At 55.5% G+C, this 25,529-nt stretch overlaps 2 protein-coding genes and 1 long non-coding RNA gene across 22 annotated transcripts in view, besides 17 other annotated features; 2 read left to right on the top strand and 1 right to left on the bottom strand.

Annotated features, from left to right (window-relative positions):
* Positions 1,662–2,401: an enhancer, noted in NCBI's record as "H3K4me1 hESC enhancer chr9:131791587-131792326 (GRCh37/hg19 assembly coordinates)". NCBI's record gives its function as "activates a minimal SCP1, AML or CMV promoter by ChIP-STARR-seq in naive H9 embryonic stem cells {active_cell/tissue: H9 hESC(naive)}" and the evidence as "EXISTENCE:reporter gene assay evidence [ECO:0000049][PMID:30033119]".
* Positions 2,402–3,141: an enhancer, noted in NCBI's record as "H3K4me1 hESC enhancer chr9:131790847-131791586 (GRCh37/hg19 assembly coordinates)". NCBI's record gives its function as "activates a minimal SCP1, AML or CMV promoter by ChIP-STARR-seq in primed H9 embryonic stem cells {active_cell/tissue: H9 hESC(primed)}" and the evidence as "EXISTENCE:reporter gene assay evidence [ECO:0000049][PMID:30033119]".
* Positions 2,402–3,445: a biological region, named in NCBI's record as "H3K4me1 hESC enhancer GRCh37_chr9:131790847-131791586".
* Positions 3,016–3,445: a silencer, noted in NCBI's record as "silent region_20357". NCBI's record gives its function as "represses an Ori minimal core promoter by ATAC-STARR-seq in GM12878 lymphoblastoid cells {active_cell/tissue: GM12878}" and the evidence as "EXISTENCE:reporter gene assay evidence [ECO:0000049][PMID:35858748]".
* SH3GLB2 (SH3 domain containing GRB2 like, endophilin B2) lies at positions 3,378–24,673 on the top strand. Of its 16 annotated transcripts, none has more exons than NM_001287045.2 (13): positions 3,378–3,617; positions 9,286–9,427; positions 10,490–10,618; positions 16,805–16,938; positions 17,206–17,298; positions 18,690–18,701; positions 19,411–19,473; positions 21,016–21,039; positions 21,500–21,589; positions 21,838–21,938; positions 22,242–22,256; positions 22,363–22,603; positions 22,918–24,673. In NM_001287045.2, the coding sequence occupies exons 1-13, from the start codon at positions 3,555–3,557 to the stop codon at positions 23,023–23,025; spliced, it is 1,215 nt and encodes a 404-aa protein (NP_001273974.1). In that variant the 5' UTR covers positions 3,378–3,554; the 3' UTR covers positions 23,026–24,673. The 16 variants fall into 16 exon arrangements, 15 of the variants coding, with proteins under 15 accessions (NP_001273974.1, XP_006717251.1, NP_001356842.1 ...); XM_006717188.3 differs by having other exon boundaries at positions 20,944–21,039; NM_001369913.1 differs by having other exon boundaries at positions 3,378–4,146; positions 22,918–23,917.
* Positions 3,486–3,995: a silencer, noted in NCBI's record as "silent region_20356". NCBI's record gives its function as "represses an Ori minimal core promoter by ATAC-STARR-seq in GM12878 lymphoblastoid cells {active_cell/tissue: GM12878}" and the evidence as "EXISTENCE:reporter gene assay evidence [ECO:0000049][PMID:35858748]".
* Positions 3,486–4,389: a biological region, named in NCBI's record as "H3K27ac-H3K4me1 hESC enhancer GRCh37_chr9:131789599-131790162".
* Positions 3,826–4,389: an enhancer, noted in NCBI's record as "H3K27ac-H3K4me1 hESC enhancer chr9:131789599-131790162 (GRCh37/hg19 assembly coordinates)". NCBI's record gives its function as "activates a minimal SCP1, AML or CMV promoter by ChIP-STARR-seq in primed H9 embryonic stem cells {active_cell/tissue: H9 hESC(primed)}" and the evidence as "EXISTENCE:reporter gene assay evidence [ECO:0000049][PMID:30033119]".
* Positions 4,390–4,953: an enhancer, noted in NCBI's record as "H3K4me1 hESC enhancer chr9:131789035-131789598 (GRCh37/hg19 assembly coordinates)". NCBI's record gives its function as "activates a minimal SCP1, AML or CMV promoter by ChIP-STARR-seq in primed H9 embryonic stem cells {active_cell/tissue: H9 hESC(primed)}" and the evidence as "EXISTENCE:reporter gene assay evidence [ECO:0000049][PMID:30033119]".
* Positions 4,390–5,517: a biological region, named in NCBI's record as "H3K4me1 hESC enhancers GRCh37_chr9:131788471-131789034 and GRCh37_chr9:131789035-131789598".
* Positions 4,878–5,109: a silencer, noted in NCBI's record as "fragment chr9:131788879-131789110 (GRCh37/hg19 assembly coordinates)". NCBI's record gives its function as "represses an EF-1alpha promoter that drives an FKBP-Casp9 reporter gene in an ReSE screen in HepG2 liver carcinoma cells {active_cell/tissue: HepG2}" and the evidence as "EXISTENCE:reporter gene assay evidence [ECO:0000049][PMID:32094911]".
* Positions 4,954–5,517: an enhancer, noted in NCBI's record as "H3K4me1 hESC enhancer chr9:131788471-131789034 (GRCh37/hg19 assembly coordinates)". NCBI's record gives its function as "activates a minimal SCP1, AML or CMV promoter by ChIP-STARR-seq in primed H9 embryonic stem cells {active_cell/tissue: H9 hESC(primed)}" and the evidence as "EXISTENCE:reporter gene assay evidence [ECO:0000049][PMID:30033119]".
* Positions 7,552–8,359: an enhancer, noted in NCBI's record as "H3K27ac-H3K4me1 hESC enhancer chr9:131785629-131786436 (GRCh37/hg19 assembly coordinates)". NCBI's record gives its function as "activates a minimal SCP1, AML or CMV promoter by ChIP-STARR-seq in naive and primed H9 embryonic stem cells {active_cell/tissue: H9 hESC(naive and primed)}" and the evidence as "EXISTENCE:reporter gene assay evidence [ECO:0000049][PMID:30033119]".
* Positions 8,360–9,167: an enhancer, noted in NCBI's record as "H3K27ac-H3K4me1 hESC enhancer chr9:131784821-131785628 (GRCh37/hg19 assembly coordinates)". NCBI's record gives its function as "activates a minimal SCP1, AML or CMV promoter by ChIP-STARR-seq in primed H9 embryonic stem cells {active_cell/tissue: H9 hESC(primed)}" and the evidence as "EXISTENCE:reporter gene assay evidence [ECO:0000049][PMID:30033119]".
* Positions 19,399–20,309: an enhancer, noted in NCBI's record as "H3K4me1 hESC enhancer chr9:131773679-131774589 (GRCh37/hg19 assembly coordinates)". NCBI's record gives its function as "activates a minimal SCP1, AML or CMV promoter by ChIP-STARR-seq in naive and primed H9 embryonic stem cells {active_cell/tissue: H9 hESC(naive and primed)}" and the evidence as "EXISTENCE:reporter gene assay evidence [ECO:0000049][PMID:30033119]".
* Positions 24,485–24,634: an enhancer, noted in NCBI's record as "active region_29100". NCBI's record gives its function as "activates an Ori minimal core promoter by ATAC-STARR-seq in GM12878 lymphoblastoid cells {active_cell/tissue: GM12878}" and the evidence as "EXISTENCE:reporter gene assay evidence [ECO:0000049][PMID:35858748]".
* Positions 24,613–25,529, bottom strand: part of NUP188 (nucleoporin 188) — a 59,398-nt gene continuing 58,481 nt past the window's right edge. Inside the window, exons 43-44 of the mRNA NM_015354.3 lie at positions 25,341–25,470; positions 24,613–25,207 (exon numbers count right to left, since the gene is read on the bottom strand). Coding sequence (NP_056169.1) covers positions 25,031–25,207; positions 25,341–25,470 — 307 coding nt within the window. The 3' untranslated portion in view covers positions 24,613–25,030. The remainder of the gene's footprint in view (positions 25,208–25,340; positions 25,471–25,529) is intronic.
* Positions 24,855–24,924: an enhancer, noted in NCBI's record as "active region_29099". NCBI's record gives its function as "activates an Ori minimal core promoter by ATAC-STARR-seq in GM12878 lymphoblastoid cells {active_cell/tissue: GM12878}" and the evidence as "EXISTENCE:reporter gene assay evidence [ECO:0000049][PMID:35858748]".
* Positions 25,045–25,104: an enhancer, noted in NCBI's record as "active region_29098". NCBI's record gives its function as "activates an Ori minimal core promoter by ATAC-STARR-seq in GM12878 lymphoblastoid cells {active_cell/tissue: GM12878}" and the evidence as "EXISTENCE:reporter gene assay evidence [ECO:0000049][PMID:35858748]".
* Positions 25,145–25,529, top strand: part of LOC101929314 (uncharacterized) — a 12,911-nt gene continuing 12,526 nt past the window's right edge. For 4 of the 5 annotated variants that reach the window (XR_007061810.1, XR_930382.4, XR_930381.4 and 1 more), the window contains exon 1: positions 25,146–25,229. This is a non-coding gene — a long non-coding RNA (uncharacterized LOC101929314). Of the gene's footprint in view, positions 25,230–25,529 lie in introns of all 5 variants that reach the window. The other variant, XR_007061809.1, reaches the window with a different exon arrangement.

Here is a 25,529-nt window from a genome sequence, read left to right as displayed (position 1 = left end):
ACTTTGGGCCACAGGATTCAGGCTTTTCAGCTGGAAGGTAGGGTTTTGCCAGGGACCCGCCCCTGTCTGCCTAGTATTTCTCTGCCTCCTGCCTCTGTCACAGGCATGCTTCCCAATTTGTGGGATGGTCACCTTGCAGTCTGTACCCTTTTATAAGAAATAAAATCTTCTTTCCTTCTTTAAATGTATACATCTTGATTTTTTTTTTTTTGAGATCGAGTTTCACTTTTTTTTTTCCTTTTTTTTGAGGAGGAGTCTCGCTCTGTAGCCTAGGCTGGAGTGCAGTGGCATGATCTCGGCTCACTGCAACCTCTGCCTTCTGGATTCAAGCTATTCTCCTGCCTCAGCCTCCCTTGTAGCTGGGACTACAGATGCACACCACCTCGCCTGGCTAATTTTTGGATTTTCAGTAGAGAAGGAGTTTCACCATCTTGGCCAGGCTGGTCTTGAACTCCTGACCTCGTGATCCACCCGCTTTGGCCTCCCAAAGTGCTGGGATTACACGTGTGGGCCACCATGCCTGGCCGGAGTTTCGTTCCTGTTGCCCAGGCTGGAGTGCAATGGCGTGACCTCGTCTCACTGCAACCTCTGCCTCCTCGGTCCAAGCTATTCTCCTGCCTCATCCTCCCTAGTAGCTGGAACTACAGGCCTACACCACCACGCCCAGCTAATTTTTGGTATTTTTAGTAGAGATGGGGTTTCACCATGTTGTCCAGGCTGGTCTCGAACTCCTGACCTCAGGTGATCCGCCTGCCTCGGCCTCCCAGAGTGCTGGGATTACAGGCGTTTGCCACCGCACCTGGCCTACATCTTGATTTCTTTTTTTTTTTTTTTTTTTTTTTTTTGAGATGGAGTTTCTCTCTTGTTGCCCAGGCTGGAGTGCAATGGCGCTATCTCAGCTGACCGCAACCTCTGCCTCCCGGGTTCAAGCGATTCTCCTGCCTCAGCCTCCCAAGTAGCTGGGATTATAGGCATGCGCCAGCACGCCTGGCTAATTTTGTATTTTTAGTAGAGACAGAGTTTCTCTATCTTGGTCAGCTGGTCTTGAACTCCTGATCTCAGGTGATTCGCCCGCCTTGGCCTCCTGGGATTACATGTATGAGCCACCATGCCTGACTAGATTTTTTTAAAGTTAACACTGGCTAAATGAATGATATAGTCAGCTATAAACAGATGATAGTAAATAAGTCCATGATCAATACAGACAAATAGAAACAAACACATAGTGAACACAAAAACAGAAACACAGAGAATCAGAGTTGAGGGATTGCAGATGTGTGAATGACATGAAAGTTGATGAAGGCAACATGTACATACTGGCCCAAGTACATGACAGGATGGCCCAGGTAGGTGGAGTTTTGAAAGCTCCCAGGTGATTTAATGTTAGAGCCATTGACTTGTTGACCCAGAACCAGGGCTGGGAGAGGGAACAGGGTCTGGATTTTGAACAAGCCCCCAGGTGACTTGAGGCTCACCCTGCAGAGCCATGCTGGGATAGGTGACAGAAACTGGGGTAAGTATAGAAAGATGAACAAAGCCAGATAGAAGAGGGTACAGCTTGGGAACAGAGCTCTCCACTGGGTTCAAAGGTGAAACCTAGGCCGGGCGTGGTGGCTCACACCTGTAATCCCAGCACTTTGGGAGGCGGAGGCAGGTGGATCACGAGGTCAGGAGTTCAAGACCAGCCTGACCAACATGGTGAAACCCCGTCTCTACTAAAAATACAAAAATCAGCCGGGCGTGGTGGCACATGCCTGTAATCCCAGCTACTGTGGAGGGTGAGGCAGGAGAATCGCTTAGACCCCGGGAGGCGGTGGCTGCAGTGAGCTGAGATGGTGCCACTGCATTCCAGCCTGGGTGAAAGAGCGAGACTCCATCTCAAAAAGAAAAAAAAAAAAAAAGAGGAAACCTAGAGGTAGACAGCAAGGAGAGGTGAAGACCAGTACAAAGCCTCTATCTGAGCCCCAAGGGAAGGCATTTGGGGTCAGGAGCACCTGTAGGTCATCTCCTTGCCTGGGGCTGTGAGGAGCTGGTTTCAAGGTTATCACACATCTGTGCTCCCAGGGCAGCTCATTCTCTCCACCCTGACAGTCACCCAACCTTTGATCTCCTCCTCTCACCACACAGGGGGCTCCAGGCCCCAGCTCCAGAACCCCCTCCCTTCCCGTGACCGCCACCCCAACCCTCCTCCAATTTGGGGAAGCCACAGGGCCTCCCAGGCTGACAAACAGCTGTTCCAGCGGTGGAGGGCAAGTCCCAAGCCTGACTCCGGCTCAGTCACCAAGGTCAGGGCAGAAGAGAGGAGGAGAGGTCAGAGAGGAGGAGTAACGGGAGGAAACCCAAGGGAAACAGAGTGGAAGAAATGGGAATGGGAGGGAGGGGGTGTGAATAAAGAGCGGAGATGAAGAGGCACAAACAGGGGAGAGGCAGCAGGCCTGGGTGGTGGGAGGAGAAAGCAAGAGAGGCCCATTTTAGAGATCTGTTGCACATATTGGTGACTACTCAGTCACTTAGTGACTTTGGGAGACTGAGGCAGGCAGATTGCCTGAGATCAGGAGTTCAAGACCACCCTGGGCAACATGGCAAAACCTTGTCTCTCCTAAAGTACAAAAAATTAGCGGGGCATGTTGGTGGGCGCCTGTAGTCCCAGCTACTCGGGAGGCTGAATGAAGCAGGAGAATCGCTTGAGCCCGGCAGGTGGAGGCTGCAGTGAGCCGAGATCGCGCCACTGCACTCCAGCCTGGGCGACAGAGCAAGACTCTGTCTACAAAAAAAAAAAAAAAGTATTGCATATTTCAAAATTGCTAAAAGAGTACATTTGAAATGTTCTAACCACAAAAAAAGTAGGTGAGGTGATGGATATGTCAATTAACTTGATTTCATCATTCCACAATTTCATCACCTTGTAGGCCGTAAATATATATTTATCAATTAAAACTTTTGAAAAGCATTGGTAAGATGGCAAATAATATGTAATTATGGCGTGTACCTGCAATCATCTAAGAGCACATGTGTTCCAGTTTTAATAATTTTAGTAAAAGGAAAAAAAGAGGCCGGCCCAATCCGCGGCGGCAGGCGCATGGGGGCAGCAGCGAGCACTGCCCAGCAGCGAGCCCTGCCCAGCACAACCTGCTCCCCAGACCAACCCCCGCTCTGGCCGCGCCAAGGCCTCGCCCCCACCCATGTAGCTCCGCCCCACTGCCCTCTCGCTCCGCCCCTGTCCCGCCAGTCCCGCCCCCTCCGACTCCGCCCGGCTTCCGCCAACCAGCCCGGCCCCCGCCCCTCTAGCTCCGCCCCACTGCCGTCCCGTCCCGCCCCGGCACCGCCAGCTCCGCCCCCGCCCCTCTGGCTCCGACCCGCGGCCTCCGCGCCCCGCCCTGCGCGCTCGGGCTGGCTCGGCGGCTGCGGCGGGCGGGCAGGCGGGCAGGCCGGCAGGCGGGTGCGCGGAGGGCTGGTGCCCCGCAGCAGGTGGGCGGGGTGCGGTTGGCGGCGGCGGCTGGGCCGGGGGCTGCCGGCTGCGCTCGGGCCGTGCGCGGCGGCCGTGCGGGCACGCCATGGACTTCAACATGAAGAAGCTGGCGTCGGACGCGGGCATCTTCTTCACCCGGGCGGTGCAGGTGAGGCCTGGCGTCGCGCCGTGCGCCGGGGGCCCGGATGTGCGGCGGGCGGGGAGCACCCTGCGGCAGACGCCTGGGGACGCGGGAAAGCCCTCCCGGGCTGCTGCCCTCGTCCCCGCCGCGGCACACCTCTGCCCCCCTGAGCCCTTGCTGACCGGAAGAGGGAAAGAGCCCGTGCGGCCCGAGCCGGGCCTTGGCCCTGCTGCCTGGGGCGAGGCACCGGTGCCCACCCTTTGGGCTGGTTGGGTTACCCTGCTCCCCTGGCGCCTGCCTGGCTGAGGAGGGGAGGAGGCACCGGCTGGGTGCTACCTCCCTGCCCTTGTCCAGCAGTGACTGGCGCCTGGCGGGGCATTTAGCGACCTGGGTCCCAGGCCCAGGGACTCATGCGTCCACCACAACCCCTTCTCCGAGCCTCAGTCTCCGCACCTGTGCAATGGGCGGCTGGTGCCATGAGTCCCTCATGGCCATTTCACACGTTTGGATAGTCAGGCCGGAAGCCAGGAGTTGTTTCTTTTCTGCTCCACGGGAGGTCTGTTTCCTTGGTCCCTGGGCCTGGGGGATGGAGAGAGGGCTGGGGTCTGGCTGGGAAGCTGTCCAGGCCCACGATGCTGAGATTGGAAGAAGTCCTATCCGTTTAGGGGCAGAGAGTAACAGGCAACTCAACATCATGGGAAGACCTAGGGTCAGGTGTGGGTGGGAATGTGCCCTCCTGTGACCTTGGGGGAGGGGCCTTCATCTCACTGGGCCTCAGTTTCTCAGTCTGAAAAATGGGATCAGTATTCCTGCCTCCCAGGACAGATGCGAGGATTCTGTGGGACTCTGCATATGTGTGCTCACCAAAGGCAAGCTCATTATTGGTGTCAAAGTGGTTAATATTGCACCTGTGCAGCATGTGACCTTGGACAAGTCACTTCTCTCAGAGCCCCGCCCTCCCCTTCTGTAAATCTGGTGTAACACCGTGGTTATGGGATTCAGTGGGATTCCGCAGGCCCGGGGCTGGCCCATCCCAGGGTTCTGGGAGCAGGTCCTGTAGTCTTGTCTTTGTCGTTGTCGTTGTCATCGTTGTTGTTTCTGTTGAGTACAGTTCTCTCCCCACCCCCAACCCGGGCACTCCCCTCCCCAGGAGCCCACACCCAGCCAGCAACCCATGTAGTCATGTTTACTAGAAGGTGCTGTGTCCCGCTGAGGATTAGCATCCCAGCGAGAATTCACTGCTTAATGTGTTCCAAGTCTGGTGGGCAGCCCCAGCCCTAGTGGAGATGCCAGGATCCCAGAGCCCCTCGGATTGGACGGCCCCAGTCCATCTGGGAGGGGGGAACCCACTCTGCTGTTGGTATGGCAACCACACTATCTCCCACATCTGGGAAGAACCTGATCTGCCAGTTCCCTGCTAGGGCTGGGGCCCTGCTGCCTGACCTGGCCAGGGCTCTCAGGACCTAGGCAGGGCAGGGCCTAGGTGTGGCTCCGCTTGGTGGGAGCTGCCCCACAGGGTCACTGTTACTGGAGTGGGAGCCAGCAGTCAGGCCCCAGCCTCGGGGTGGGAGGGAGGGAGCTGAGAGCTTTATAAATAGAGGCTTTCTCTGCTCTGCACGCCCACCCCACTGCTGCCATTTTCCCGGGAGCAGCCTCGGACTCCAGCACCAAACCCCTTCCTCTTGGCAGGATTGGGGCAGAGTGGCAGGCCAGGGGATAGAGAGGCCTGAAATGTGACCTGGCAGGAGAGGCCACAGAGGGGCTCCGCCTGAGACCAAGCTGGCCTGGATGGGAGACAGTCAGGAGGGATGGGAGAGGGGTTCTTTATGATCAATACATGTGATGGGCTCAGGAACCTCCCAGTCCCTGCAGGTACAAGAAACAACTTTAAGAGCCTCCCCGATCCAGCAAGGAACAAGGCCTTGGCCCTGAGATGAGGATCCAGAGGGCAGGATCCCTTTTGTATGGGTCATTCTGGGATGGTCTCCTGCATGGAGGGCCCCTGAACTGTGCTCAGAAAGTAGGGAGGGGCTCATGATGTTGGTCCAAGTGGCAGGAGCAGCCCAGATAAGGGCACCGAGGCAAGAAAACCTAAGGCAGATTTGGACAAGATGCCAGTGGGGGTGGGAGAGGGCAGGAGGAGTGATAGTACTAATACTATTAGTAGTAATTGCAGTAACAGTAATAGTAGTGGTAGAAGTAATACTTATAAAGTCCAGAGAGGTGGTGGCATCGTCATCATGGAGCTAGGCAGACTGCAGTGGACATGGGATGGATGCCGTCTAGTTTGGGAAAGCCTGGTAGAACTTCTCACCTGGGCAGATGTGGCCTGTAAGGGAGGGCGGGGTGGGGAGTGCTGCTCTGAACCTTGGTAAGGAGGGGAGGTGTTGAGGTGCACATTTAGGGTGATGCCCTTGGTACCATCAGGGTAGCTCCTGAGAGCTGAGGAGGGATGTGAGGGAGGCCTGCCTGCCTGCCTGCCTGCCTGCCTGCCTTCCTTCCTTCCTCCCTTAGTCCCTCTCTCCTTTCTTCTTTCCTTCCTTTTTTTTTTTTGAGACAGAGTCTCATCCTGTCGCCGAGGCTGGAGTGCAGTGGCACAATCTCGGCTCACTGCAACCTCCACCTTTCAGGTTCAAGTGATTCTTCTGCCTCAGCCTCCCGAGTAACTGGGATTATAGGCACCTGCCACCACTCCTGGCTAATTTTTTTTTTGTACTTAGTAGAGACAGGGTTTCACCACGTTGGCCAGGCTGGTCTCAAACTCCTGGGCTCAAGTGATCCTCCTGCCTCGGCCTCCCAAAGTGCTGATATTACAGGTATGAGCCACCATGCCTGGCCTTTTTTTTTTTTTTTTTGAGACGGAGTCACTCTGTCACGCAGGCTGGCGCAGTCTCAGCTCACTGCAGCCTCCGCCTCCCCGGTTCAAGCAATTCTCCTGCCTCAGCCTCCCGAGTAGGTGGGATTACAGGCGCCCACCACCACGTCATGCTAATTCTTGTATTTTTAGTAGAGATGGGGTTTTACTATGTTAGCCAGGCTGGTCTCGAACTCCTGACCTCACGTGATTCACCTGCCTTGGCCTCCCAAAGTGCTGGGATTACAGGCGTGAGCCACCATGCCTGGCTTCCTTGCTGTCTTTTTTTTTTTTTGAGATGGAGTCTCGCTCTGTCACCCAGGCTGGAGTGCAGTGGCGTGATCTCGGCTCACTGCAAGCTCCACCTCCCAGGTTGATGCCATTCTCCTGGCTCAGCCTCCCGAGTAGCTGGGATTACAGGCGCCTGCCACCACGCTTGGCTAATTTTTTGTATTTTTAGTAGAGATGGGGTTTCACCGTGTTAGCCAGGATGGTCTTGATCTCCTGACCTCGTGATCCGCCCACCTCGGCCTCCCAAAGTCTTTCTTTTTTTAAGGCAGGTTCTTGGTCTGTCACCCAGGCTGGAGTGCAGTGACATGATATTGGCTCATTGCAACCTCCGCCTCCTGGGCTCCCACCTCAGCCCCTTGAGTAGCTGGGACTACAGGTGGGTGCCACCACGCCCAGCTAATTTTTTTTTTTTTTTTTGAGACTGAGTCGCACTCTGTGGCCCAGGCTGGAGTGCAGTGGGGCGATGCTCATTGCAAGCTCCGCCTCCCAGGTTCATGCCATTCTCCTGCCTCAGCCTCCCGAGTTACTGGGTCTACACGTGCCCGCCACCACACCCGGCTAATTTTTTGTATTTTTAGTAGAGAAGGGGTTTCACCTTGCTAGCCAGGATGGTCTCGATCTCCTGACCTCGTGATCCGCCTGCCTTGGCCTCCCAAAGTGCTGGGATTATAGGCATAAGCCACCGTGCCGGGCTTTTTTTTTTTTTTTTTTTTTTTTGTAGAGAGGAGGTCTCACGGTTGCCCAGGCTGGTCTTGAACTCCTGGGCTCAATCCATCTGCCCACATCGGCCTTCCAAAGTGCTGGGATTATAGGCATGAGCCACTGCACCTAGCCAAGGCTTTTCATTAATGATGGTGATAATAATACTAGCTAACATGTATCAGCCCCATACTGTGTGCTGGCCAAATAGCCAATGAACTAGATCCTGTTATCTGCATTCTCCAGGCAGGGGCTCTCAGGTCCAGAAGGGAGACTTTGCCTCTTCGAGCCTTGGTTTCCTCATTTGGGAAATGGGGTGAACGCCACCCCCCTCAAAGGACTGGGTGAGGTAATAGAGCCACGAGGAAATCTGAGCCTCTGCTCTGGAAGGTCTCATTTTGGGGAGTGTGACGAGGAAGAGGAGGCAGAGCCAGCCAGGGTGGGGGAGGGAGGCCAGGAGCAGCTGGCCCCAGGCAGGAGCTGAGGCCATACCCCTGGCAGCTGGGCCCTCCCAGCCCTGCAGGGAGAAACCCAAGCTCTGCTACATAATTGATGGCTGCTGAGCTCCTGGTGGCCGCCCAGCCCGCCACCCCCCACCGCAGCTGGAGCCAACTGCAGCCAGGGATGATTCATGGCTGACCGACTCCTGCGTGGCCCTGCCCCTTGCTCAGCCTCAGTGGCAGCATCTGTGAAATGGGAAACAGCCCTCCTTGCATTAGAGGTTGATGAGGTCATGAGGAAACCCTTAGGACAGGGCTGGCCAACAGTGTTTGTTGTTCCTTATCTTACTCCTGCAGGTCTTCACCCTGGCTGTGACCTTGGGCAAGCCCTTTCTCTTAGCTAGAGAAGGCCTTGGTGTCCCCGTTTGGAAAATGGGGACATGTGTTCCAGGGCCCTCTTAGATCAGAGGGGCCAGGACTTGGACCAGTTTCTGGTTGTTCCTAGGTAGCCCCCACGGCTTCTGCCAGCTTTGATGGGGACCCATGCGACATCCGGGCCCTGGGTGTGCCCAGCCGCTGGCTCTGATAGGCTGGCAGTGTTTCCATCTACCCTACCAGGTGGCCAAAGCCAACCGTTTGGCCATCCTCCCTCCCTGCATTCCCCTTCCTTCCCAGACGTCTCTGCACCCATCAGCTCATAGCACCGGTGCCTTACGTGGGGCAGCAGCACTGTAGCCGACCCAGCCTTTATGTCTAACCCACATCTTTCCTCTTTCATCCTCATAACCTATGGGGGAGGTGCTATTATTCCCTTTTTTCAGCTCAGGAAACCAATGCTCAGAGAGGCAGAGCCCCTTGCCCAAAGTCACACATCTTGACAGTGGCAGAACTAAGACTTGAATCAGGTCCTTCTGAACCCCGACCCTGGGTTCTTCCTCTCCCTCCTCTGGCACCCTCTCCCTAGCAGCTCCCAGCTGCCCATGGAGCCCCCTGATAACCCCAGACCCTACTCCCTGCCCTGTTTGTCCCGAGTACTTTCTACCAAGTCCTCTCCTTCAGAGTCAGACTCAAAGGACCCTAGGGCTGGCCTCCCCAGGGTTCCTCACCGCACTAAGCTGTGTGCCAGATTGTATATGAAGGTGCATTTTTGTGGGGAGAGAGTGTAGCTTTCATTGGATTTCCAAAAGAAGCTGTGATTCCCACACTCTGGCCCAGCCACCTCATTTCACAAAGGGGAAAACAGTGAGGCCCTGCCAGGTCACACAGTATCACACTCAGGGCTGGTTCCTTGACCCTGGGGCCTGCCTGGGTTCCTGCTGGTGGGGAGGGGCAGTCCTCCCTTTCCCCACCACTCCCCCACCTCCTTCTGAGCTCTCCCCCTCCCCACCCCTTGGCCTTCCCCTCTGCGTAGTTCACGGAGGAGAAATTTGGCCAGGCTGAGAAGACTGAGCTTGATGCCCACTTTGAAAACCTTCTGGCCCGGGCAGACAGCACCAAGAACTGGACAGAGAAGATCTTGAGGCAGACAGAGGTGCTGCTGCAGCCCAACCCCAGTGAGTGCGTGTTCGTGGGCCCGGGGAGGGATGTAGTCGTGGGGCAGGGATACAGTAGGAGGCCTGGCCCTGTTGTGGCATAGGTGGGGCGGGGCTGCAGCCGGGGTTTCAGCTAGACTCTTGGGCTCAAGGCTGTTGAAGAGGGACAGTTAAAAGAAAATGGGGGACTCTGTGTTGGGCTGCCAGACACTCCAGGGCAGTGGAAACACTGAGTTTTGCACAGAAGAGTTAAAATGCCTGGAAGCTAAAACACACGTGGGAGAAGAGGCAGGCAAAACACACACCTGGTTGGTCACTCTGTTGGTTTTTTTTTTTTTTTTTTTGAGGTGGAGTCTTGCTCTGTCACCCATTCTGGAGTGCAATGGTGCAATCTTGGCTCACTGCAACCCTTGCCTCCTGGGTTCAAGCGATTCTCCTGCCTCAGCCTCCTGAATAGCTGGGACTACAGGCACATGCCACCACGCCCAGCTAATTTTTGTATTTTTAGTAGAGAAGGGGTTTCACCATGTTGGCCAGGCTGGTCTTGAACTCCTGACCTCAAATGATCCACCCGCCTTGGCCTCCCAAAGTGCTGGGATTATAGGCAGGAGCCACCGTGTCCGTCCCAACCTGGTCACTTTCAAGAGGTCAGCAAGGCCCAGAGATGAAGGGACTGCCCGGAGCACACCCAGGCAGGCCCCCAAGGTCAAGCAGAAGCGACCTGCAGGACTTCCGGGGAAAGGAGGGTGGCTCCGGGTCGTGCTGTGTGTCTGCCTGTAAATCTGCTCTGTGGCTCATTGAGGGGCCAGATAACTTTTGGGTGCCAGGAGCAGAGAATTGTGCAAGCATGTATTATGGTCTGTAATCATATTAATAAGGGAGAAGTGGACGGGCCCTGGCTTCCTCCTCTGTATAGTGCTGGGTCAATCACAACAGTCTCAGGGTTGGGCATGAGCAAGAGCGTATTCTGGAAGTCAGCAGGCCAGGTGCACCTGTGGGCAGGGCCGGGTCTGGGTCTGTTTCTGTTTCATTTTTGGGCTTGAACTAAGGAGCCCTGTGGCTTTGGCTGCTGTCTCCCCACAGGTGCCCGAGTGGAGGAGTTCCTGTATGAGAAGCTGGACAGGAAGGTCCCCTCAAGGGTCACCAACGGGGAGCTGCTGGCTCAGTACATGGCAGACGCGGCCAGTGAGCTGGGGCCGACCACCCCCTATGGTGAGCAGGCCTCACAGCCAGGGACTAGGGGTCATGGTCTTTAGCTCTGATTCTCCCTCCCTCCCTTCCTTTTTTTTACTTAAAAAAATAATTATACAAATAATACCTGAATTCATTCTAAATGTAAAAACTCTACGCAGAAAAAAAGAGTAAAAAATGGAATCTTCTCTTAACCAGTTTTGGTTTGTGTGTGTGTGTGTGTTTTGTTTTTGTTTTTTTTTGAGATGGAGTCTCGCTCTGTCGCCCAGGCTAGAGTGCAGTGGCGTGATCTCGGCTCACTGCAAGCTCCACCTCCTGGGTTCCCGCCGTTCTCCTGCCTCAGCCTCCCAAGTAGCTGGGACTACAGGCGCCCGTGACCACGCCTGGCTAATTTTTTTTGTATTTTTTAGTAGAGACGAGGTTTCACCATGTTAGCCAGGATGGTCTCGATCTCCTGACCTCGTGATCTGCCCGCCTATGCCTCGAAAACTGCTGGGATTACAGGCGTGAGCCACCGCGCCCGGCCTATTTTTTTTTTTTTGAGACACAGTTTCACTCCATCACCCAGGCTGGAGTGCGGTGGTGCGATCTCAGCTCACTGCAACGCCCCTGCCTCCCAGGTTCAAGTGATTCTCCTGCCTCAGCCTCCCGAGTAGCTGGGACTACAGGAGCCCGCCACCACACCCAGCTAATTTTTGTGTTTTTAGTAGAGGCAGGGTTTCACCATGTTGACCAGGCTGTTCTCAAACTCCTGACCTCAAGTGATCCGCCTGCCTCAGCCTCCCAAAGTGCTGGGATTACAGGTGTGAGCCACCGCACCTGGCCTATTTGTGTGTATTTTTTAATGGAATCATATTGTGTGCTATCTGGGAACCTGACTTTTTTTTTTTTTTTTTTTTTTTTTTGGAGATGGAGTTTTGCTCTGTTGTCCGGGCTGGAGTGCAGTGGCGCAATCTCAGCTCACTGCAACCTCCGCCTCCTGGGTTCAAGCAATTCTCCTGCCTCAGCCTCCCAAGTAGCTGGGATTCCATGTGCCCACCAGCACACCTGGCTAACTTTTTTGTATTTTTAGTAGAGACGGTGTTTTACCATGTTGGCCAGGCTGGTTTCCAACTCCTGACCTCAAGTGATCTGCCCGCCATGGCCTCCCAAAGTGCTGGGATTACGGGCATGAGCCACCGCACCCGGCTGGAACCTGACTTTTTAACTTGACATCATATTACAGGTATCTTTTCACTGAAGCATTTATAGAACCATATCCATCTTTTTTTTTTCATTTTAAAATTTTATCCAAGTATAAGCTATATATTATGTGTTTAAGTGTATAATTCAATGATTTTTAGTAAATTTACAGAGTTGTACAAACATCTCCACAATCTAACTTTTTTTTTTTTTTTTTTTTTGAGGCAGAGTCTCACTCTGTCACCCAGGCTGGAGTGCGGTGGCGCAATCTCAGCTCACTGCAACCTCTGCCTCCTGGGTTCAAGCATCCCGGGTCCTCCCTCAGCTACCCAAGGAGCTAGGATTGCACACGCCCACCACCACTCCCAGCTAATTTTTGTATTTTTAGCAGAGACCGGGTTTCACCATGTTATCCAGGCAGGTCTCGATCTCCTGACCTCCGGTGATCCACCCGCCTCAGCCTCCCAAAGTGCTGGGATAACAGGCGTGAGCAACTGCGCCCAGCCAAACTTATTTATTTTTTATTTTCTGTTACCTTTTTTGAGACAGGGTCTGGCTCTGTCCCCCAGGCTGGATTGCAGTGGTGCAATCTCAGCTCACTGCAACCTCTGCCTTTTGGGCTGAAGGCATCCTTCCACCTCAGCCTCCTGATTAGCTGGGATTACAGGTGTCCACCACCATGCCCTTCTAATTTTTATATTTTTCTGTAGAGATGGGGATCTCGCTATGTTGCCCAGGCTGATCTCAAACTCCTAAGCTGAAGTGACCTCCCACCTTGGCCTCCCAAAGTGCTGGGATTACAGGAGTGTGCCACCGTGCCCGGCCCACAGTCTAATTTAAAGAACATTTCCATCACACCCCAAAAGTCCTTCATGTCTATTGTCAAGCCCCATTTTCACCTCCAGCCAGCCAACCACTAACGTGTTTTCGGTCCCTATAAGTTCATTTTTTCTGAACATTTTATATAAATGGAATCATATGACATGTTGTTTCTTGCATTTAGCTGCTTTTACCTAACATAATTTTTTTTTTTTTTTTGAGATGGAGTCTCACTCTGTCACCCAGGCTGGAGTGCAGTGGCACAATCTCGACTCACTGCAAGCTCCTCCTCCCGGGTTCATGCCATTCTCCTGCCTCAGCCTCCCGAGTAGCTGGACTACAGGCGCCTGCCACCACGCTCGGCTAATTTTTTGTATTTTTAGTAGAGATGAGGTTTCACCATCTTGGCCAGGCTGGTCTTGAACTCCTGACCTCGTGATCCACCCGCCTCGGCCTCCCAAAGTGCTGGGATTACAGGCATAGCCACTGTGCCTGGCCTCAGGTAAATTTAACTTAACTCTTTTTTTTTTTTTTGAGACGGAGTCTCTCTCTGTCACCTAGGCTGGAGTGCAGTGGCGCAATCTTGGCTCACTGCAACCTCCGCCTCCTGGGTTCAAGCAATTCTCTTGCCTCAGCCTTCCAAGTCGCTGGGATTACAGGCACCCGCCACCATGCCCAGCTAATTTTTTGTGTTTTTAGTAGAGACGGGGTCTCACCATGTTGGCCAGGCTGGTCTTGAACTCCTGACCTTGTGATCCGCCCGCCTTGGCCTCCCAAAGTGCTGGGATTACAGGCGTGAGCCACTGCGCCCAGCCAATTTAATTTAACTTTTTAAGAAGTTGCCAAACTGTTTTCCAAAGTAGCTGTATGATTTTTTTATTCCTGTCAGTAGTGTGTTGTTTCATTTTCAGATATTTGTGGATTTTCTGGGTTTTCTTCTATTGTTGCTTTTAACTTAATTCCACTGCGATCAGAGAATGTATGAACATGTCGTGCTATGTTAGTATTATTATTATTTTGAGATGGAGTCTCGCTCTGTCGCCCAGGCTGGAGTGCAATGGTGCCATCTGGGCTCACTGCAAGCTCCACTTCCCAGGTTCAAGGGATCCTCCACCTCAGCCTCTCAGCCTTCTGAGTAGCTGAGATTACAGGCACGCACCATCACGCACCTATAATCACACCCAGCTAATTTTTTTTTTTTTTTTTTTTGTTTGAGACGGAATCTCGCTCTGTCGCCCAGGCTGGAGTGCAGTGGCACGATCTCGGCTCACTGCAACCTCCGCCTCTCGTGTTCATGCCATTCTCCTGCCTCAGCCTCCCAAGTAGCTGGGACTACAGGCACCTGCCACCATGCCAGGCTAATTTTTTTTTTTTTCAGTGGAGACGGGATTTCACCGTGTTAGCCAGGATAGTCGATCTCCTGACCTCGTGATCCACCCACCTTGGCCTCCCAGAGTGCTGGGATTACAGGTGTGAGCCATCACACCCGGCGTATTTTTTGTATTTTTAATAGAGATGGGGGTCTCACCATGTTGGCCAGGCTGGTCTCAAACTCCTGATCTCAAGTGATCCGCCTGCCTTAGCCTCCCAAAGTGCTGGGATTACAGGCATGAGCCAGCACACCCAGCCTCATATTTTTATTGTTTTAATCCTTTTAAATTTATTGAGACTTGTTTCATGACCTAGTATATGGTCTATCTGGGGAATGTCCTAGGTTCACTTGAGAAGATGTGATATTATGCTGTTGAGGGTGCAGTGCTGTATAGGTGTCAGCGAGGCCACATCGGTTAATAGTGTTCAAGGCTTGTATGTCCTTGCTGATTTTGTCTTGTCCTATTCATTATCAAGAGTAGACTATTGAGGCTGGGCATGGTGGCTCACACCTGTAATCCCGCCACTTTGGGAGGTCAAAGTGGTTGGATCACCTGAGGTCAGGAGTTCAAGACCAGCCTGGCCAACATGGTGAAATCCTGTCTCTACTAAAAATACAAAAAAATTAGCTGGGCATGCTGGTGCGCGCCTATAGTCCCAGCTACTTGGGAGGCTGAGGCAGGAGAATTGCTGGAACCCGGGAGGCGTAGGTTGCAGCGAGCCAAGAGCGCGCCACTGCACTCCAGCCTGGGAGACAGAGTGAGACCAAAAAAAAAAAAAAAAAAAAAGAGCAGAGTATTCAAGTTTCCAACTATTACTGTTGAATTATCTTATTTCTCTCTTTGTCAGTGTTTGCCTTATGTATTTTGGAACTGTCTTAGGTCTGTATGTTTATATTTGTGCATCTTCCTGATGAATTGACTCTTTCATTATAAAATACTATTCTTTGTCTCTAGTACTATTTTGTGTTAAAGTCTATTTTGTCTGGTAGTAGTATAGCCACGTTAACTCTCTCGTGGTTACTGCATACATGGTGTACTTTTTTCAGCCCATTCATGTCTTTAAATTTAAAGTGTATCTTTGGATTTTTTTTTTTTTCTGTCACCCAGGCGGGAGTGCAGTGGTGCGATCTTGGTTCACTGCGACCTCCACCTCCCGGTTTCAAGCGATTATCCTACCTCAGCCTCCTGAGTAGCTGGGATTACAGGTGCTTGCCACCACGCCTGGCTAATTTTTGTATTTTTAGTAGAGACAGGTTTCACCAAGTTGGTTAGGCTGGTCTTGAACTCCTGACCTCATGATCCGCCTGCCTCAGCCTTCCAAAGTGCTGGGATTACAGGTGTGAGCCACCGCACCCGGCCGTATCTTTTTTTTTTTTTTTTTTTTTTTTTTTTTTTAAAGACAGTCTTGCTCTTGTTGCCCAGGCTGGAGTACAGTGGTGTGACGTTGGCTCACTGCAACCTCTGCCTCCTGGGTTCAAGCAATTCTCCTGCCTCAGTCTCCCAAGTAGCTGGAATTACAGATGCACACCACCACACCCAGCTAATTTTTGTATTTTTAGTAGAGACGAGGTTTTGCCATGTTGTCCAGGTTGGTCTCGAACTCCTGACCTCAAGTGACCCACCCACTTTAGCCTCCCAAAGTGCTAGAATTACAGGCGTGAGCCACTGCGCCCGGCCTTGCCTTCACTTTTGAAGGATTGTTTTGCTATATATAGAATTCCTGGATGAACAATTTTTTCTTTACTTTGAATATATTATCTTACTGCTGTCTGGCTTCTATTGTTTCTAATGAGAAGACAATTCATCTTATTTTAGCTCTCTTGTATGTGATGAATCAAACCATGTTTTTTCTTTTCTTTTCTTTTTTTTAAAGACAGGATCTTGCTGTGTCACCCAGACTGGAGTGCAGTGGTGCAATCATAGCTTACTACTATAGCCTCAAACTCCTGGGTTCAAATGATCCTTCCGCCTGGGCCTCCCAGAGTATTGGGATTACAGGTGTGAGCCAGCGCGCCCAGCCTCTTATTGTTTCTTCACATATTTTTTCTGCCTTATTTTCTCCTCCTCTTCTGGGACTCTTGTTAGTCATATGTTGGTTCACTTGACAGTGCCCCGTAGGTGCTGAGGCGCTGCTCATTTTTCTTATGATTTTCTATTTATTTTTTATAAAGACAAGGTTTTGCCATGTTGCCCGGGCTGGTCTTGAACAGCTGGGTTCAAGCAGTCTGCCCACCTTGGTTTTCCAAAGTGCTGAGATTACAGGTGTGAGCCACAGCATCCAGCCCAGTAGTTTTTCTTGATTAAATGCTTTTCAATTTGTTTTTTGCCTTGGTCAATTTGCAGAGTCCAGAAATGGATGTTTTTGACAATTGTGTCCAGTTTTCTTTCAATTTGTTTTATTTTCAAAGAGATAAGGTCTCCCTATGTTGCCCAGGGTGGTCTGGAACTGCCGAGCTCAAGTGATCCTCCCGTCTCGGCCTCCCAGAGTGCTAGGATTATAGGTGTGAGCCACCGCACCTGGCGTGGTGTCCAGTTTTATTGTTACTTTTTTTGGGAGGGGATTTGTTGAGCTCCTTTCTCTGACATTCTGGAAGTCTAACCCCGATCTTTATAATGGCTGCATTGTGTTCCATATTTTGGCTGTCCCATTGTTTATTTGTTAGTTCCCAGTTGATGGTGTAGTGTAGGTTGCTTCTGCTTTTTCCCAGGCAAAGCATTCTGCACTGAGCACCCCGGCCCTTGCTCTTCAGCAAGCTCTTCCTGAGCCCTCTCCTGTAGATCAGAGTAGCCTGAGCCTGACCTTCTTCCTCACGCTTCAACTCTGTTTTCTCAGGGAAGACACTGATCAAGGTGGCAGAAGCTGAAAAGCAACTGGGAGCCGCGGAGAGGGATTTTATCCACACGGCCTCCATCAGCTTCCTCACACCCTTGCGCAACTTCCTGGAGGGGGACTGGAAGACCATCTCGGTGAGGGCCCTGGGACTATTCCGCTTCCTGGTAACCATGGCAGTTCCCTCCTCAGAGCCTTTGAGTACAGGCTCTCTTCCAGTGCTGGGGCTACAAAACTCCTGAGGCCTCCCCAGAGAGGGCTCCTTTGGACTGAGTGACCTCCTATCTCTGGGCCTCAGTTTCCCTATCTTGACTTGATCGTCCCCGGCACCAATCTTGCCATGCATGGCTCAGGGTCTCCCAGGGCAGCCCAGGGTCTCACTGTCCCCATGCCCTGCCCTGTAGAAGGAGAGGCGGCTCCTCCAAAACCGGCGTCTGGACTTGGATGCCTGCAAAGCGAGGCTGAAGAAGGCCAAGGCTGCAGAAGCCAAAGCCACGGTAGGTGTCCCCGCTCCCCGCTGGCCTCCTGGCCCAGGCTCTGGCTGGAGCCAAGGGGTGGTGGCATGAAGGGACCTGGTATTTGGCATGACCTCTCTCCCCTCTCCCTGGCTGGAGATGCCTGGCTGGGGGCTGCTGGGCTGAGCCTCTCTGTCCCTGCCCTCAAGGGAGCCTTGGTGGCCCCCGAGCTCTGGTTCCCAGGGAGATATCTACGGTGTGGGCGGACCAGCAGTGCCCCCAGCTGGGTGCACCACCCCGCCAGGCAGCTGGAGTCTCCTGCATGCCCTGCCCTGCCCTCCTAGATGCTCGGCTCTGTCCCCGGCTCTGCCCGGGCATGGCACCTTCTTACTAACTCTACTACTTGCTGCTTGAACGTCAGGCCGAGGGTCCCTGTGCTCAGGCGCCCCCACGATGGTGTGGAAAACCTGGGAGCTGGACCGCCCGCTTGCTCAGGGCCGTGTCCGAGGGGTCCCATGAGATTGGATAGGGCCTGGGCCATCTGGCGCCCCCTTCACTCCCAGCTCACTGAGGCCTGTTCAGCCTGGCTGGGTCAATGGGACGCAGCCTGGGACAGTGTGCCCAGGGCGAGGCCAGGATTGGAGGAGCTGGGCCCAAGGGTGAACACCCTCCTGGCACAAGAGGTTGCTCAGGGCTGCCAGGCCTAAAGGCTGCCTCATACCTTGCAGAGGGAACTCCCAGGCCCAGGCCTACTAGGGAGATGGCTACCTGTGGCTGCCAGCTGATTAGCCGAGGGAGGCCAGGCCTAGCCTGGGCTCACAGCTGCCCATGCACCTTGCGTTCCCCTCCCATAGTGTGGCCCCAGAGCCAGCACTGCCCCTGGCGAGAACCGTCTCAGGTCACTCAAGTGTGTGGGGTCTAGATCAGAGGCAGGGGTGTAGTTGTTTCAATCTTGGGGTTGGCTAGGGTGACCTGTGCCTATTGGGATGACCTCTTCTAAGGCACCTGAACAGGACAGTCTCCCCCGTCACTTCGGGCCAGACACCGTCTCTGGAGTAACTCAGCCAGAACACACTCTCTCCATCAGCCAGGCCAGAGGAGCCTTTCCTGTCATTGCAGTGGTGTGGCCTCTCCCTCACCTGGTGGGCCTGGACAACCTCACATCCTGGGGTTGGGCCAGGCCACCTTTCCAGAGCTAGGACTTGGGCAGCCCCAGGAACAGCATTCCAGAGGACTCAAGCTCCACAGCTCTGTCCCCATAAGCACGCACACGTTAGGACTCTTCAGGAGGGCAGGCTGTGGTGCCTCCCTCCGCCCGACCGCCTGGTGTCCCCTCCCACTGGGGCCTGGGGGGCCTGCTCCTGCCTGCGCTGTGGACTCACTAACTCTTTGTTTTTGTTCCTTTCCGTCCTGCTTTGGGTAACTTGGCTCAGTGTGAGGGAGATGTGAGTATACCTGTCCCACGCGCTGTGCTGCTTCCGGTCTGCCCATCTTGCCCGTGGACCCACGGTGCCATGGCCAGCCCACGTCCTTGGGGCATTTTGCAAGCAGCTGGTCTCCCCGCCAGAGCCTCTACTGTGCAGGGCCTCTGGTTTAGGGGGGGATGCCAGGCGTTGGGGCCTGTGAGTCAGCTTTTTGCAAATGTTGGACGCCTGTCACTCTGTCTGCCCATGCATCCATCTGTCCACCTTCATTGTCGGGAGGGGCCTGGCCCTTGATGCAGGAGCAAGAGATGTGGTGTGCGGATTCTGGGATGGAAAAAGCCATCCCAGTTGGGGGTGGGCTGTGTTTGCGGGACCCTGGGGCATCTGAGTGCCACTGGTCTGGGGAGGAGGGGGCTGTGGCCCCTGGCAGGGGAGAGCCCAGCCTGTGACTTGCTCAGGCAGCCTCGGCCATCTCCTCACCGCATTTGCTCTCCTGAGCTCCAGTGCCTGCAGCCACTTGATCTTTGTCTGGACTCTCCAAGTCCCTAGGCCCCTCATCTCCAGGTGGTTGGAGTCGGGAGAAGGGGGTTTGTGTTGTGTTTGTATCCCCGTCCCTGGGGTCAGGCCTCTTGGCATCTCCTTGTGCAAGACTCTGGGGTAGCCTCCTGACCTCGACCCTGGCCCTGGCCCAGGGTGACCCCCTCCCCACATGAACTCTGTTCCCCGCCAGACGGTGCCTGACTTTCAGGAGACTAGACCTCGTAATTACATTCTCTCGGCCAGCGCCTCCGCGGTAAGCGCACCCCACCCCCACCCCACCCCTCGTCCTCCTCTCTCCCCACGTCCCACACCACTGCCTCTGACTGCACAGGAGCTAGAAGCCAGCTTGGGTAAGGCGGGGGCACTGCCATGTGATCAGGTCAGTCCTGAGACACTGGGGAGGGGCAGCAGCCCCCACCTCTGTCCACGGCCTGGCCCCGGTGCCCTGTGGCCATGGAGCTGGACTTGTTTCCCTCTGCAAAACGCTGGAGCTGGCGGCAGGGCCAGCCACACTGAGTAGTGTGGAGAACTCAGGGCGGCAGCTGTCCCATCCCCAGGGCCCCTCCACCTCCTGCTGTCTCTGAATGCCAGGCCCTGGGGAGGCCCTGAGGATAGAGGAGGAGGCCTGGCCGTGCCTTTCTGGAGTTCACAGACCCCTAAAGACAGGAGGCAGGGATGGCGTCGTAGGCCTGGAGAGCGCCTGGGGGGCGGGAGGGCCTGAGGCTGTGCTTAAGGCCCAGAGGTCCTGGAGCAGGGCATGTCTTGTCCTGAGGCTTAGGCAGGGCCCCCAGGGGAGTTGGGGCAGGAGGTGGGGAGGACAGGATCGTGGAGGCTTCGCATGTCATGGTGTCTGTTGGTTTTTAGGCTTTCTTGGGAAGTCTGGTGTTTCCTATGTAGTTTGGGGACTAGGCCACACCTCTCCCTCATGCTTGTCACCACTGCTACACCTTGTCTGCCCACTTTCTCTCCTTCCCGCCCCTGGAGGTGAGACCCTCACCTCTCTCGTGAGCATGCTGCCTCATGTCTTCCGTGCCGTCGTTCTGTGGCTGGGTGACTGTCCCTCAGGCCGCCAACCCTAGTTGGCTCTCACAGCAACTTCCAGTGCTCCTGGACGGGGACTTCCTAAGCAGCATGGGGGCCACACGGGCCGGCCACGCACACTGGCCTGGGTCCGCATTCCCTATTTCAGGCTGTTGTCTCGGGTCAGATCTCCGGAAGCGGCAGGAGCGCTGGGTCTCCTGGTCGTGGCCGGGCAGCGTCTTTCTTCTTCAGGGTCTGGATGCCACTTCCCGCCTCCTCCCTGTGCCCAGTGGAAGGAGAAACATCCTAGAGGGTGGAGACTGCCCTGTTTTTCTTTTGCCATTGAGTCCCAGTGTGACTCAAGCACGAGGCCACCTTTCTCTGCCAGAGGACAGAAAGCTTCAGTGACTGGCCCAGGGTCACACAGTTCTGCCGCCCAGCCCAGCAGCCTGAGCCAGCAGTCAGGATGGGGTGGGGACACTCCGTCTCTCTTGAGACCCCACTCAGAGAATGGGGCTGACACTGTAGGAGAAATATAAGCAGGACTCCTGCTGGCTGCTCCCCTCCTGCATGAGGCATGTTAGAGGGACTGGGACCGCCAGCCCCCAGCTCCCATGCCGGGCCTCGGCCCAGTCTCAGCTCCTGTTTGGGAGGGGGGGCAGAGGGGCAGGGGGGCAGAAGTTGAGTCTGGGAGCTGGGGCAGGGCACAGGCTCTAGGGTCCAGCTGTCCTCCTCTCCCCTCCCCTGCTGGCCACTCCTGCTGCCGTCTCCACAGCTCTGGAATGATGAAGTGGACAAGGTAAGTTGGGGCCTGGGGGGCTGGGCTCGAGGAAGAAGGGGTGGCGGGGTGCAGGCACACTTGCTGCTGTGGGGTCTGATCTGTTTCTCACTCTGCCCCACACCCACTGGGGAGGGGTTACTGCTTTCCCTCCCTGGGCCTCAGTTTCCCCTCTGTGGGGAAATGTTTTCTCCACAGTACCCTGTAGCACACAGTAGGCCCTCAGGATGCACTTGCTGGGTGGATTTCTCCGATGGGTGATGGAGGAAGGGTCTGTCACTGCAGCTGCCTGTGGGGTCCTGAGTGGGGCTCTAGCTTCTCTGGGGTTGGGGCTCCAGGTGTGAAGTCAGGCATAGACCCAGAAGGCTCTCTGTGTTCCCAGGGGAAAGGGACAGGCGGCTCCCAGGTAGGCTCCAGGAGAAGACTGCGGGGAAGCTGGTGGGTGGTGTGTGGGTGCTCATGGCTGCCCTGCCCTGCCCAGGCCGAGCAGGAGCTCCGCGTGGCCCAGACAGAGTTTGACCGGCAAGCAGAAGTGACCCGTCTCTTGCTGGAGGGAATCAGTAGCACTCACGTGAGTCCCACTGCCCACCCTCACTAAACCTAACCCTCAGCAGGCACCAGGTGTGCCTGAACCACAAGGTCAGCAGGGCTGCCCCAGAATGGCCCTCACAGAGCAAGTCCCACCGGGGAGGGTGTGGGCGCAGGGGCAGGGCACCCTGGAATGCCGGAGCAAGGTCTGGTAGAGGACGGGGATGGGGACGGAATTTTTTGTTCTGAGGGCGGGAGGTTAGAAGTCAGCCTCTGGCCTCTTCCCCGCAGGTGAACCACCTGCGCTGCCTCCACGAGTTCGTCAAGTCTCAGACAACCTACTACGCACAGTGCTACCGCCACATGCTGGACTTGCAGAAGCAGCTGGGCAGGTGCGGGGCCAGCACTGCTGAACCCACTGGGGCCCCCTGGCTCCCATACCCTGTCCGTGGGCAGCATGAGCTCCTCTGGGCAAGTCCTGTGACACAAAGCTGGGTTGGAGGGCTCTGCTGGAACCCACTCTGGGTGCGGGCATCTCATGTGTATGAGGGTGGAGTGGCTGGCCTTACTGACGGCCAAGTCCCCTGGAGCCCCTGAGGGTTTCTAGGGAATGCCTGGGTGGGGAGGATGGCAGGGACCAGGGGGTGGGGCCATCTCACCCTTCCCTTGCTTTGCTTTTCCCTTTGTGCTGCCAGCTCCCAGGGTGCCATGTGAGTAGCCGGGGCTGGAGTGGGGCTCCTGGGGCTGGGGAGGGGAGTTTGCCTCTGGGGTCCCTTCTGGGACTCCCACCTGCTAAGATGTATCCCTCCTCTCCAGATTTCCCGGCACCTTCGTGGGCACCACAGAGCCCGCCTCCCCACCCCTGAGCAGCACCTCACCCACCACTGCTGCGGCCACTATGCCTGTGGTGCCCTCTGTGGCCAGCCTGGCCCCTCCGGGGGAGGCCTCGCTCTGCCTGGAAGAGGTGGCCCCCCCTGCCAGTGGGACCCGCAAAGCTCGGGTGCTCTATGACTACGAGGCAGCCGACAGCAGTGAGCTGGCCCTGCTGGCTGATGAGGTGGGCCCGGTGCCGCAAGGTGGGGCAGGAATGGGCTGGGTGAGGAGCAGCCTGGGCACTGGGATCAGGCACATGGGGCCTGGAGGGGCCCTGTTGGCAAAGTGGGGACCAGCAGGTTAAAGAGGGCATATCCAGCTCTGAGGAAAGGATCCTTGCTCTGCTGGGTCTCTGGAGCAAGTGAGATGAGCGCCAGCCACTGAAGGTGTAGCACATGCCACGGGCCATGGGGAGGTGGCAGCTCTGTCCCCACTTAGTCCTGGGGCCAGTTCCACCCTTGGCCAGGCCATGACCGTCCTCTACTGCCATCTCTGCAGCTCATCACTGTCTACAGCCTGCCTGGCATGGACCCTGACTGGCTCATTGGCGAGAGAGGCAACAAGAAGGGCAAGGTCCCTGTCACCTACTTGGAACTGCTCAGCTAGGCAGGTGCCCCCATCCCCCCCGCATTCTGGCCTAGGCAGGAGAGGATGGGCGCAGCCCTGCCACTTAACTTGTTTGTTGGTGACACAGTTGTTCAGAGTGGGGAGAATTCACCCCATTCTGTCCCTGCCCCTAGTCACCTAGCTGTGAGGGTGCCTGAGGCTGAATGGCTCCACCCCTCCCCCAGCCCTGCTTCTGACCTGTGGCTCTGGAGCCCCTGCCCCTGCCTGCATCCCCGAGCACCCCACCCTCCAGGCTCCACTAAGGAGGGAGGGGCTGTCTGCAGCAGCTGCACTCAGCACCTAGGCCAGGGTGGGGCCGCCGCAGATGGGCTCAGGAAGCCCCAGGTGCACTCAGCGAGAGCCCTGCCTTTCAGTTGCCAAAAGCTGCATCAGGGGAATGCGGCAAGGCACACAGGGCTCTGGCAGCCCCTGGGGACTGGGCGCTGCCCCTGGGAGGGGAGAGCCTGGCCAGGGCTGGTGTTGGGCCCGGAGCAGCATCTTCCGGTGCTATCCTCCCCTCCCACCCCTCACAGCTCAAGCCAAGTCCAGCGGCCGCAGTCTTCACCTCTCCACACTCACTTTTTATCTGGTGTTTTTACTTCTGCCTGCGTTTGCTCTCTAGCCAATAAACCGTCCTTGTGTGCGAGTCACCTGGGCTCCTGTCAGGGCCTGGCCCTGAGGGTGGTAAAGGGAAAGGTAGACTCACCCTCTGCCCCACTCTTCCACAGAGTGAGCAGGGGCCCTGTGGCTGCCCCGGCCCCCAGCTCTCTAGTTGGGAAGAAGTGCAGCCCTCCCTGTCTTCTGCGGGGCCTGTGCCTCTCAGAGGGCAGTGCTGTTCCTGGACATGAAGCCGCACAAGGAACGTTTTATTCCTAAGAAAAAGTTTCCTAAATTTGGATTGTGGAGCGGACTGTAGAATGCGTCTGACAGTTCAGTTCAAGCACAAGAAGTGGGTAGCGGTCAGTGCTGTCTGCAGGTCGGGCGTTTCACCCAGCATGTGCCCCCGTGCCATGGGTTCTCATGCCGTCCTCAGTGTCCACATTTCACAGATGAGATCAGCAAGACAGTCAGCTCCTCAAGGGACCACAGTTGGCAAGTGGCCAAGCAGGGACTGAAGCCCAGGCAGCCTGATTCTAGAAACCCTAAGTGATGTCTGTGTTTTAGATGGCCCCTAGCAGGACCTAGCATTCTGACTTCAGTCCTGAGAAGGCCAACAGCCAGTAGGCCCCACTGTTGGGGCTTCTGAAGAGGGGATCGGGGGATGACGGGGGCACGGGGCTATAAATAGGAAGGCACAGAGCTTCAAGAAAGGCTCACCCAGGGATGAGCTCAGCCCACTGGGCCAATGAAAGCAGGGTCAAGGACAGGACCAGCGCAGGCCAAGGAAGGGAATATCTGACAGCGCCCACCCAGCCAAACCCTCAGCCCAAGGACAGGAATGAGGAGATGCTGGTGAACTAGCCATCCATCAGTACCTGCCTTCCCCCGAGGCTGCAGCCCCACTCCCAGGCGCCTGGCCAGGGGAGTTTTCTAGGTTCTGAGAGCCACGTTGTCATCCCTGGGCTTTGAAGTTAAACATCACACAGCTGTCTATAAACAAGATTTTAATATCTGTATAAATAGACCACAGAATTACCAAAACTGCAAAGACAGAGTGTGGAAAACAGGTTTGAAACCCGTGCATAGAGCCCTCTGCTGGGCTGCCGCCTCTCCCCTGGCCGGCAGTGCTGTGGGGAATGCTGGAAAGGAAGGAAAGTTCCTCTAGGGGGCGTCTGCAGCGTGAGGACCTGAGCACAGAAGACTCGGCTCCCCATGCCTGCTGTTGACCTCTTCATCTAGTATAAAAATAACGTCAGTGGGTGGTGGCTGGAGTCGTGGCTACTCCGGGAGGGGGGTGACAGGAGGTGCCCTCCATTGTATAGGCCCTAGCAGCCAGCAGCACCCCTGCCAGCCAGGGTGCAGTGTAGGCTGGTGGAGAGGGGTAGGTGGGCAGAACAGCACTGCCCTATCTTTGCATATGCCGGACAAACGCCTGCACCAACTGGATCAGAGGCTCCTGACTCTCAGGGCTGGCTTTGGAGAGAGAGGTGGACTTGCCCTGCGGCGAGGGGAGGACACCAGTGGCAGGGGAGCTGGGGGCTCCCCGGCGGAAGTAGCGCGAGAGGCTGGACAGCAGCGTGCTCTACAAGAAAAAAAGTGGCTTGGTGAGGCTCAGCACATCTGGCTACTGTTCTGACCCTTGGGGGTTGCCAGGCAGGACCCCACAGGGCTCTGGCCCTATTGGTCCAGCCCTCCGTATCCCTATCCATCCGTACCAACTCAGAGCTGAGCTCCTGCTTCATCCGCTGTTTGTCCCGGGGGTGCACAGCCGGGTCCCTAAGGTACCGCATCGCCTGAGAGATGAGCAGGTAGAAGCAGTTTTCCATGGTAAACATCAGGAGGGACCTGGGAGGAGACACAGGTTTTTGGTACTGCTGCAGAGGGCCAGGCTGGCCAAGCTTGAG

The sequence above is a fragment of the Homo sapiens genome, chromosome 9 (genome assembly GCF_000001405.40).
Source record: "Homo sapiens chromosome 9, GRCh38.p14 Primary Assembly".
In the NCBI taxonomy this organism is placed as follows: Eukaryota; Metazoa; Chordata; class Mammalia; order Primates; family Hominidae; genus Homo; species Homo sapiens.
This window is presented reverse-complemented; position numbering and strand designations above follow the sequence as displayed.